Here is a 10956-nt window from a genome sequence, read left to right as displayed (position 1 = left end):
CTTCCCCTCCCTTTGTGTCCAAAGATCAGTGTTAGAAACAAGGTCACAACTTCAGATTAAGGCCATGATCTCAGTGTCTCCCCTTCCCACTCCCAACTCCTGGTGGGCAGCTCTGTGAGGCTTGATGGCTTGAAGCTTCTGCCTGGCTGTCACAGGAAGGACTAAAGGTATCCACAGGAAAGGAGAAATGCTGTGAGTGAGCTGTAGTGGGGTAAAGAGAGGGCCAGGGATTCCAGAATTGTGAGAGGCAGACACAGAGACACAAGCCAGCGACCCCAAGCACAGCTTTATTGACACCCCAGCCAACACCAACACTCTTTCCAACCAGCGGTGAGGGGCCCATGGGGCGGGGCCTGAAGGTGGATTGAGGGCCTCGGTTTTTTGTTGAGTGATGACAGCTCCATGTTCCTTCCAGTGGCCCTGCAGCCCCTCTATCCCCCAGCTTTAGCCGCTACTCCCAGTGGGGCAGGAGGAGCTTCCATTGCCATCTGGAGACCCTGGCAGGGACTTGCCCATCCGATCCACACACCAGCAGGGACCTCGGCGCTGCCCCTGGGAGGAGCGGCACTGGAGAGAGAGGCACACAGGTCAGGAGTGAGGCCAGAGGCTTCCAGCAGGAGAATGAGAGGGGACATCTGAGTCTGAGGATGTAAAAACACCTGAGCGTCTCCTCGGGGGTTCCCTCTCTTTTTTTTTTTTTTTTTTTTTTTTTTGAGATGGAGTCTCGCTCTGTCGCCCTGGCTGGAATGCATTGGCATGATCTCTGCTCACTGCAACCTCCACCTCCCAGGTTCAAGCAATTCTCTTGCCTCAGCCTCCTGAGTAGCTGGGATTACAGGTGCATGCCACCACATCTGGCTAATTTTTGTAATTTTTAAAACAGATGGGGTTTCACCAGGTTGTTCAGGCTGATCTTGAACTCCTGACCTCGTGATCCACCAGCCTTGGCCTCCCAAAGTGCTGGGATTACAGGCATGAGACACCGCACCCGGCCCAGTGTTCCCTCTCTTTAGTTCCCCCTCTTCAACCAATAAATTGTGTGCATTCTGCTAGCCTGGAACAGTAGTTTTCAAAGTGACGTTCCCAAATCCGGATCACGAGGGAACATGTTAGAAATGCATATTGTCAGGCCCCACCCCACACCTCCTGAATCAGGAAGGCTGCCGGTGGGGCTCAGCTATCTGTGTGGCATAAGCCCTCCGGAGGATTCTGATGCCTCAAGTTCAAGAGCCACTGAGTTAGGGCATTCCTTAAGTGGGTTTTCTCTCACAGTGTGTGGTTGATTATTCTCTAAGTTTGTTTAATAAATTATATTCTCTATGTTCTCCTAAAGTTGGAAGATCCTTAAAGATGGGGCAGTGTCTTATTTATGCAGCTTTGTAAGCAGCACCGCCCCCACTCCCTGGCAGGAGCCTTCTGCTGGAGCAGGAGGAGAAGAAAAATAGTCTCACCTGCCGCTTCCGGTAGAAGCCTCGATGGTCACAATTGGGCACGTAGAGTGTTTGAGCCCCTCGGTAGACCTCAGTCTGGAGTTGCTGCAGCACTGAGTCCAGATGTCTACGGCATGGGCCCTGGGGAAGGGAGAGTAGGCAGCTTAGAACCGCTCCAGCCCAGCTCCCCATTCCAACCTTCTGGCCCACCAGGCAAGCACCCAGGACAGACAATGGAGACGTCTCCAAGCCCAAGGGAGCAGTCTCAGATGGAAGTCTCCAGGGCTTCCCACCCCTCCTGCTCCCTACCAGCTCCAAACGCACCATCTCAGTGTCTTGGACACCCGCAGAATTGGGCTGGGAGGGCGTGGTAGAGGTGCCTGGATTCCTCTGTTGGTCTCTGCGGTTCACATCCTGTGGGCGGGCAGTGCCTGCTTGGGGTTTACTCTCCTTAGGATTCTCCTCTGCAACTGGAGGAGGAATAGGAGAAGGAGAGGTCAGAAATCAGGCAGAGCCATGTGGAGAAGGGCCTTGCCCACATCACCTGCTGAAGTAAGGAAGGGAGGGCCTTATGCCCCGCTGTTGCATGATGCTGGCCCTAGTTTCTTTCTCTGACAAATAGTTATATTACTTTTCCTGACAATATTCCCCAGTATTTCCCATACTGATTTTTAAGGCTTATAAAGGAGATGAATTTTGGAAAGCAAAAATGGAAAATGAGGATGGGTGCAATGGCTCACGCCTGTAATCCCAGAACTTTGAGAAGCAGAGGTGGGAGGATTGCTCGAGCCCAGGAGTTTGAGACCAGCCTGGGCAACATAATGAGAACCTCATCTCTACAAATAATTTATAAAATTACCGAGGTGTGGTGGCGTGCACCTGCAGTCCCAGCTACTTGAGAGGCTGAGGCAGGAGGACTGCTTGAGCCCCAGAAGTCAAGACTGCAGTGAGCCATGATTGTGCTACTGCACTTCAGCCTGGACAACCGAGTGAGACCCTGTCTCAAAAATAAATAAATTATTGGCTGGGCGCAGTGGCTCATGCCTGTCATCCCAGCACTTTGGGAGGCCAAGGTGGGCAGATCACTTGAGGTCAGGCGTTCGAGACCAGCCTGGCCAACATGGTGAAACCCCGTCTCCACTAAAAATACAAAAATTAGCCTGGCATGGTATCAGGCTCCTGTAGTCCCAGCTACTCCGGAGGCTGAGACAGGAGAATCGCTTGAACTCGGGGGGGCGGAGGTTGCAGTGAGACGCTGGACCACTGTACTCCAGCCTGGGCAACAGAGTGAGACTTTGTCTCAAAATAAATAAATACTTTTTAAAATTAATTAATTACTTAATTAAAAAAAATTAACTACTTAATTTTAAAAAATTAATTAATTACTTAATTTTAAAAAATTAACTAATTACTTAATTTTAAAAAATTAACTAATTTAAAAATCAATCAATTAATTACAATAAATAATAAAATAAATGAAAAAATGGAGAACAAATTCAAAGGACTATTTGGGGCTTTGGGCTTTGGGTGAAAAGACCTGGCTGTTCCACCAGAGGCCAGAAGGGGGCGCACGAAGCCGGAGAGCTGGGGCAGAAGAGCAACGGATGTAGGAGGGGGGCCAACAGGGACCCAAAAGGAATGTGTGTCCCTGCTGTGACCTTGCTATGACTCAACCCACCCCTCCCAGGCCTGAGATGTGGTTACTTCTGGGGCACTGCAGTGGGAACCTCTCCCTTCTGGTACCCTGTGACCCAGGCCAGCTCAACCCCAGTGGTCCCAGGAGCACATGGATTCAACCCTTAACCAAGATAGGCTGAGGGCAGATTAAGAAGGTGCAAGGAATGAGGGGCTTCCAACCTGCAGGTTGCTCCTGGCTCTGGAGAAAGTTTCCGGAGGGTCCGGGGAGAGCTCAGGACTGGGAAGGGGTGAGGAAATAAGTCAGGGACAGGAAAAGGCAGAAAGGGGAGCATGTACTGACTGCTTGGAATTTGCCTAACATCTAATCAGATATCAGAACCCCTGAAGGGATCCTCTTCCTCTGTGCCTAAAGACAAGCTCCCAGCTAACTACCACTCACAACCCAGGAGACATTTCCCCTGCAATCCTGAGTCTGATCCTTCTTCCTCAGGATGCCCACCCCTCCCCAGACCTTCTCCTTCATTCCCTACATTTAGCACCCAACCATTTAGTTCCAAACTGCCTCCTCTCATCCACCCAGACCACCTTTTAGGAGGACGCCCAGAAGCCTGCACTCGGGCATTTGGAACTGAAAGAAACTCCAAGTGAATTCTCCATCCCCTCCCGTGGAAGGAACCCAGAGCCTCTGGGATGCGCAGTTTGCATTTCCTGCCCTCCCCATCTCCCCGCTGCCCCCCATGTTTTCACGGCTGATTCACTTCTGTCCCACCCACCCAGTGACTCAGCTTCTGCTCTCCTCCCTGGAGCAGGGTGGGGTAGGATGGGTGAACGATTCTGAGCAGGTTTAAATCATAACCCTGATTTGGCAGATTCCCTCTTTCCCCTACTCTTTCTCCCCTCTCCCCTAACCTACGCCCTAGCCTGCCCTCAGTCCCTACTCAAGTCTAATACAACCCTGGATTTGGGGCCTCTTCGGTTCTAGACGCCTCCTGTTTAGGTGCTTCGAACACCGGTATTAGGAGGAAAGGAGTCATTTCTCAGTGTGTGCAGAATTTCAGAGTCTGGGGTTCCCCTCCCCTTTTCTCCAAGTGGAAGCTGAGAACAACATTTGGGTCCTTTCCCCAGCTTGGCCGTCTAGGGTTGTAGGAGCTGGGCCTGCTGGAGCCCATGGGATGGCCCTAAAACCCTCCCATTTCTCCCCCTGCCTCCCCCAAGTTCCCACCTGCACGCACACTCCATCAAGGGAAAATAAATGGAGCAAAAAAGAAGGCCGAGAGCGCAGACACCTTCTGCTGTATCACCAGGTCCCCTGGCTGCACCTCAGCTTCCTGCACTTGCCCCTTCTCCCCCACACAAATGTGCCCCCCAAAGTCGGAAGCGTCAAGGGCCAGGGCGGAAAGGCTTGCCGGGCCACCCACTCCCGTCTCCCCAGGACCCTGCCTGGAGGACGCGGGTCTCACGTGGGCGGGGCAGGGGCGGGGCGCGGACTCACCAGCAGGCGCGCGGGCCGGAAGGCAGCGGCCTCGGCCGAGCAGCAGCGCCCGCAAAGGCGCCTCGTCGTCCTTGGGCGGATGGCACTGCAGTCCTGGGGCGCAGTTAGGGGTGTAGACCCCGCACTCCTGCCCCTCCCTCCTGAGACAGCCCTCAGCTTCCGCGCAGCCCTCGGCTGGCGACCCCCCATCCTCCTCCTCCACGCAGCCCCCTGGACAACCCGCCTGCACCCCTTGCCCGCAGCCTGGGCACCGCGCCAAGGCGCCTCCTGGGCTGGCAGCGAGCAGCAGAGCTAGCAGCAGCAGCAGCGGTGGCAGCAGCCTGTGGGGGGTCATGGTCAGGGTTTGTGCCCCGTCCTCTCCTTCCAGAGCAGTCGCAGCGCAGCTGCTGCCCGCCGCCGCCCCTCTGTCTTAAGTAGCCGCCGGCCAGGGGCCGGGCCCTTTAAGAGCCAGGTGAAGGGGGGTGGGGGAGAGGGCAGGGGCATTCCCTAAACTGGGTGGGACTGGAGAGGGCCCCCCCAACCTGGGTCCTCCCCACTCTTCTTTCCCTCTCCCTTTCCAGTTTCTGTTTACTTCCCAAATTGCTCTGATTTTTCTTGCTTTGTTCCCGGGAATCTCGGCCCGGAATTTGGGAGCTGTACAGCTGGCTGGAGGGACTGGAGGGTGGGGAGGAGCGGAAGAAGGGGAGGACGGGAGTGCAATCCACTTAGTGTGTATGTGTAGGACGACGAGGGGCATGCAGGGACCCGGTGGGGAGTGAGAAGACGGGGGCTGAAAGGGAACTGAGAAGAGATGGTGTGTGTGGATCACAAGAGGAGTGGGCAAATGTGGAGGGACAGAGAAAAGATGGAGAGGGTGGATAACGGGGTCTTGGGAAATTCTACTGCTGATGGGAGAAGTAGAACAGGGCAGAGGAGAGGAAGGGCAAAATTGGGAAAGGAGTAAGAGAAAGCACCCTTGAGGTAAGACTATGGAGAAAAGGGGCCCGAGGGGAACCAGACTGGGGTAAGCCAATGGGGGAAGGGCCGGGAGGCAGGGAGGGATACAACTTGAATGAACCGTAGGAGACCCTAGCATTGTGGTGGGCGCATGCGGAGTCTGGAAGGATTGGAGAGGGCTGTGTGCAGGGTGAGAACTGGCTGGGAGGCAGGGAAAGGGGGAAATTGGCAGGTTGAAACTAGAGAGGGAGAGAATTAAAGGAACTCGTATTCGGGATGCTCTTGGGGACAGTGGCCAGAGAGCAGACCCCACCCCCCTCCCCATCCCCGTCCTTCAGGTAAGCTCGCTCCTCCATTCCTCTCCTCTCCCAGAATCCGTTTCCTTCCCTCCCAGTCATCCATGGGGTTTTCTAGATTCATCAGACTGTCTTGTGCCCAGGGGACTTTGGGGAGGGACTACTCAGCATCTTTGCCTACCTACTTGTCCGCCTTCGCTCCAAGGGTCGGGTTCCACCGCTCCCCACCCGCCTTCCCCAGGCAGTGTCCCGCCCATCCCAGGCACTCCTAGCCAGGCCTCACAAGAGAGAGGAAGAGGGATTGTTTCCTTCGGCAACCCACACCCACCCAACTCTGGGTTATGCAACAGGGACCATCTCATTCTTTCCTAAAACAAGGGCTCTGGGCAGTGACTAAGTTTAAATGCTGGGCCCCAAGCAACAATGTCAGCAAGGCCTTCTTGAACTTTTAGGTAAATAGAAATAATACGAACCTCATTGTCAGCACAGCCCGCTTCGCCATGCAACCCTGGGACCCTAGGACATGTGTTTGGAGAATGGTGTTTTCCTGTTTCCCTGAGATACTGATGCAGACTGGAGAGGCAGGGAGGAGAGGGTTGTGGGGCAGCTGATGGGAGAAGCTACTGCTGATGGGAGAAGTAGACCAGGGCAGAGGAGAGGAAGGGCAAAATTGGGAAAGGGGTGAGAGAAAGCACCCCTTCCACCAAGGCTCTTCAACCCCCTGCCACAAGCTCTGACCAAGCTCCCTGGAACCAAGGCTGTCAGAGATGGGTTCCAGAGTACTGGGGTCCTGCTGCACACCCTTTATCACTATTTATTTTGTCCTACACATGGTTCTGGCTAGGGTCTTAGGGTCTTTCTCCTGGACTTCGGGTTGGTGCTCCTGAATAAGATGGAAAGCCTGTGGGAAGTTGGGAAGGGGAAAGAGATGGCTGTGCTCTTGCAGGATCCCAGTGTGGCTCTTTTTTAAATTTAAATTTTATTTTATTTTATTTTAAGTTCTGGGATACATGTGCAGAATGTGCAGGTTTGTTACATAGGTAAACATGTGCCATGTGGTTTGCTGCCCGTCAACCCAACACCTAGGTATTAAGTCCCGCATACATTAGCTATTTGACCTGATGCTCTCCCTCCCCTAGCCCCTACCCCGCCACAGGCCCCAGTGTGTGTTGTTCCCCTCCCTGTGTCCATGTTTTCTCATTGTTTTCAGCCCCCACTTATAAGTGAGAACATGTAGTGTTTGGTTTTCTGTTCCTGTGTTAGTTTGCTGAGAATGATGGCTTCCAGCTTCATCCATGTCCCTGCAGAGGACATTATCACATTCCTTTTTATGGCTGCATAGTATTCCATGCATTTGGGTTGGTTCTATGTCTTTGCTATTGTGAATAGTGCTGCAATAAACATACATGTGCATGTATTTTTATAATAGAATGATTTATATTCCTTTGGGTATATACCCAGTAATGGGATCGTTGGGTCAAATGGTATTTCTGGTCTGGTTCTAGATTTTTTTTTTTTTTGAGGCAGGTTCTCATTTTATTTCCCAGGCTGGAGTGCAGTGACTCCATCACGGCTCACTGTAACCTTGACCTCCTGGGCTCAGAAGATCCTCCCACCTTAGCCTCCCAGGTAGCTGGGACTACAGGCACACACCACCACGCCTGGCTAATTGTATTTTTAGCAGAGAGGGGGTTTCGACATGTTGCCCAGGCTGGTCTGGAACTCCTGGGCTCAAGTGATCCTTCCGCCTTGGCCTCCCAGAGTTCTGGAATTATAGGTGTGAGCCACTGCACCCAGATTGATGTGGCTCTTTAAAGATGTTTGTCATAGTGATTCATGCCTGTAATCCCAGCACTCTGGGAGGCCAAGGTGGGAGGATCAATTGAGCCCAGGAGTTCCAGACCAGCCTGGGCAACATGACCAAGCCCCATCTCTACTAAAAATACAAAATATCAGCCAGATGTGGTGGTGCATGCCTTTAGTCCCAGCTACCTAGGAGGCTAAGGTGGAAGGGATGAGCCAAGATCACACCACTGCACTCCAGCCTGGAACAACCAGAGTGAGACCCTGTCTCAAAGAAAAAAAAAAAAAAAAAAAAAAAAAAAAAAAAAAGGCTGTGCTACTCCTTTGTAGGTTATCGTTCAGAAAAAGCCCAACACTTTGCCAGCTTCTAACATCCACCACTCCCTCCTCAACCCTCCTCAATTTCCAGCCCCCGCTTCCCACGCTGCTACCACTGCCTCAGATTCTCCCTGCCTGCCGCTCCCACCTGCCCAGCTGTTACTTTCTAGATTCTAAGCCCGATTGCACAGTCCAGTTCCACCCACCACCCCAGGATTACACTTCCCTGTTTCCCCCTCCCTCTAGCATGATCCCCAGTTGTATGGCCATCAGCACTGAGGGTCTAACCGGTCTCTTTGCAGACTGAGACGCTTGAACTCTGCCTTCCTGCCATTGGGATGCCCTCTGCCTTAGTACCCAGGGCAGAAATCTGAAGCACATGTTCAGCACTCAGACCAAGAGTGTGGGCCAAGGTACAAAACTGTCGGATTCTGTCTGGCCTTTGTGTGAGAAGGGTTTGCTGAGAAGTTTCTTCCAGGCTGAGGAAAGGCTAAATAGCTTGGGCTATCACTTAAGCTTTTCCATAAACAAACTCTACTGGAACTTCCTCCTCCGCATCTACATTATACCCTGGTTTTCTGATCCTTCATGCTGTGTCTCTCACACTCAACCCGTCCCTCTAAATTCATGGTGCCCCAAGTGCTGACTTCCTTTTGAGAACAAGGGATAAAGGAAGGGGCCTGCCTGGACCATATTCAGCTTTAAATTTGAGACGAGAAACAGTGGCACAGTCCACAGACAGAAAGTCCCAGAGAGGAAGTTCAATGACCACATCACATCATGACATGGCCTAAGGCTGACGTGGGCCTGATGGGAACTACTGTGTAAACCTCAGCTAACCTGCAGCCTCTGTTTTCTGCCATCTCTCCCACACATACCATCCAAACTGGTCCTGCTGAAATGTGCTCCTGATCCCATAATTCTCTTCTCCTCAAGGATTTCGGGGGCACTTTACTTTTTATTTCTTGGTTTTTAAATTTTACTTTAAGTTCTGGGATGTATGTGCAGAATGTGCAGGTTTGTTACATAGGTAAACATGTGCCACAGTGGTTTGCTGCACCTATCAATCCATCACTTATGTATTTATGTTTTTTGTTTTTCGTTTTTTTTGAGACGGAGTCTGGCTCTGTCGCCCAGGTTGGAGTGCAGTGACGCGAACTCGGCTCACTGCAACCTCTGCCTCCTGGGTTCAGGTGATTCTCCTGCCTCAGCCTCCTGAGTAGCTGGGATTACAGCCACGTGCCACCGTGCCCGGCTAATTTTTGTATTTTTAGTAGAGACGAGGTTTCACCATGTTGATCATGCTGGTCTCCAACTCCTGACCTCATGATCTGCCCGCCTCAGCCTCTCAAAATGCTGGGATTACAGGCATAAGCCACCATGCCCAGTCCATATATTTATGTATTAAACCCCACATGCCTTAGCTATTTGATCTGATGCTCTCCCTCCCCTTGCCCCCCGACCCCACAGGTCCCGGTGTGTGTTATTCCTCGATGTCCTCCCCTACCATAGAACCTGTGCTCCACCTGACATTCAGGGTCCCGTAGACAATGACCCTGAAACACACTCTGCTTCAGTTAGCTGGCTGAATCACCTTCCCCAGAACCCCCTGGTAGTTTCTCATCTTGGGGATTGAAATGGGATAAGGGGAAATGAGGATGAGGCATAATTGGTGCTCAGAGATCATTTCTTCCCCTGAACTCCAAGCTTTCAGCTTACAAGGACCCTCCCTTCACTCCCCTCATCACTAGCCACATTCTTTTTTTTTTGAAACAGGGTCTCACTCTGTCACCCAGGCTGGAGTGCAGTGGCTCAGTCACAGCTCACTGCAGCCTCAACCTCATGGGCTCAAGTAATCCTTCCATTTCAGCCTCCAGAGTAGTTGGGACCACAGCCACGCACCACCACATCTGGCTAATTTTTTAATTTTTTAGGCCAGGTGTGCTTACTCACGCCTGTAATCCCAGCACTTTGGGAGGCCGAGGTGGGCAGATCACCTGAGGTCAGGAATTCGAAACCAGCCTGGTGAAACCAACATGGTGAAACCTCGTCTCTACTAAAAATACAAAAAAATTAGCCTGGCATGATGGCGCATGCCTGTAATCCCAGCTACTTGGGAGGCTGAGGAAGGAGAATTGCTTAAACCCAGGAGGCGGAGGTTGCAGTGAGCTGAGATCACACCATTGTACTCCAGCCTGTGCAACGAGAGCGAAACCCCCCTCAAAAAAGAAAAAAAAGTATTTTATATAGACAGGATCTTATTATTATATTGTCCAGGCTGGACAATATAGGAGCTTGAGCTCCTAGACTCAAGTGATCCTCCCACCTCAGCCTCCCAAAGTACTGGGATTACAGGCATGAGACACCACACCTAGCCCATCATTAACCAAATTCTGGCACCTCTTCCTCACCTACTTGGCCAGTTGACACCCTGCCTTCCTTTTAATTCATCCACATTATTGTGTTGCTATTTTATATTTTTGCTCCTCTTTTCCTGCATCATTTTTCCAGTTAGATTGTGGGTGTTTTGAGAATAGGGCCCCCATTCCTTTTTTATCTCTGGGCCTCCAGCTTCCAGCCCATAGAAGGACTTTAGAATAGACACCAGGAAATATCGGTGTTTTTGGTGGGAGCAAAGGCAGTCCTGGGGGAGGGACAGAGAGGTGACGGAGATACTGCAACACTTCTGGAGGCTCCGCCATCCTCCTGGACCTAGGCGCTAGCCCAGCCTACTCCAGGAGCTCTCTTGGCCCTCCCACCCCTTCAGCGCTTCCTCTCTCTTTTCTTCATCTTCTCCCTGCTCTCAGGTAAAGGCCAATAGTCTGAGAGGCCCAGAGTGCTGTCAGGAGAGGGAAAACTGCCCCGAGGGTAAATCAAACAGGACTTCCCAGGGAACAGGGCTTTACAAGAGAGTTTGGGAGAAGAGATGGATAGGGATGAAGAGAGGGGATGGTGAAGGCATCCCAAGGAGGAAAGCACATCTTTGTGTAACAGTTGTAAAGGTAAAAGGGCAGGGAGAGCAAAACAGCATATGCGTGTTGAT

At 51.9% G+C, this 10956-nt stretch overlaps 1 protein-coding gene across 2 annotated transcripts, besides 3 other annotated features; it reads right to left on the bottom strand.

The window, feature by feature from the left end:
• Window positions 1-271: 271 nt before the first annotated feature.
• Window positions 272-4945, bottom strand: IGFBP6 (insulin like growth factor binding protein 6). 2 transcript variants are annotated; one of them, NM_002178.3, is made up of 4 exons: window positions 4561-4945; window positions 1755-1900; window positions 1452-1571; window positions 272-567 (listed from the first exon to the last, which is right to left on the bottom strand). In NM_002178.3, exons 1-4 carry the CDS (start codon window positions 4892-4894, stop codon window positions 445-447), a joined length of 723 nt encoding a protein of 240 aa, NP_002169.1. In that variant the 5' UTR covers window positions 4895-4945; the 3' UTR covers window positions 272-444. The 2 variants fall into 2 exon arrangements, with proteins under 2 accessions (NP_002169.1, XP_047284742.1); XM_047428786.1 differs by lacking the exons at window positions 272-567; window positions 1452-1571 and adding an exon at window positions 3288-3345 and having other exon boundaries at window positions 1809-1900.
• Window positions 2925-3140: a silencer, noted in NCBI's record as "fragment chr12:53493256-53493471 (GRCh37/hg19 assembly coordinates)". NCBI's record gives its function as "represses an EF-1alpha promoter that drives an FKBP-Casp9 reporter gene in an ReSE screen in phorbol 12-myristate 13-acetate-treated (for megakaryocytic differentiation) K562 erythroleukemia cells {active_cell/tissue: K562(+PMA)}" and the evidence as "EXISTENCE:reporter gene assay evidence [ECO:0000049][PMID:32094911]".
• Window positions 4428-4547: a silencer, noted in NCBI's record as "silent region_4494". NCBI's record gives its function as "represses an Ori minimal core promoter by ATAC-STARR-seq in GM12878 lymphoblastoid cells {active_cell/tissue: GM12878}" and the evidence as "EXISTENCE:reporter gene assay evidence [ECO:0000049][PMID:35858748]".
• Window positions 4558-4637: a silencer, noted in NCBI's record as "silent region_4493". NCBI's record gives its function as "represses an Ori minimal core promoter by ATAC-STARR-seq in GM12878 lymphoblastoid cells {active_cell/tissue: GM12878}" and the evidence as "EXISTENCE:reporter gene assay evidence [ECO:0000049][PMID:35858748]".
• Window positions 4946-10956: the final 6011 nt, after the last annotated feature.

Source organism: Homo sapiens, chromosome 12 (genome assembly GCF_000001405.40).
Source record: "Homo sapiens chromosome 12, GRCh38.p14 Primary Assembly".
In the NCBI taxonomy this organism is placed as follows: Eukaryota; Metazoa; Chordata; class Mammalia; order Primates; family Hominidae; genus Homo; species Homo sapiens.
This window is presented reverse-complemented; position numbering and strand designations above follow the sequence as displayed.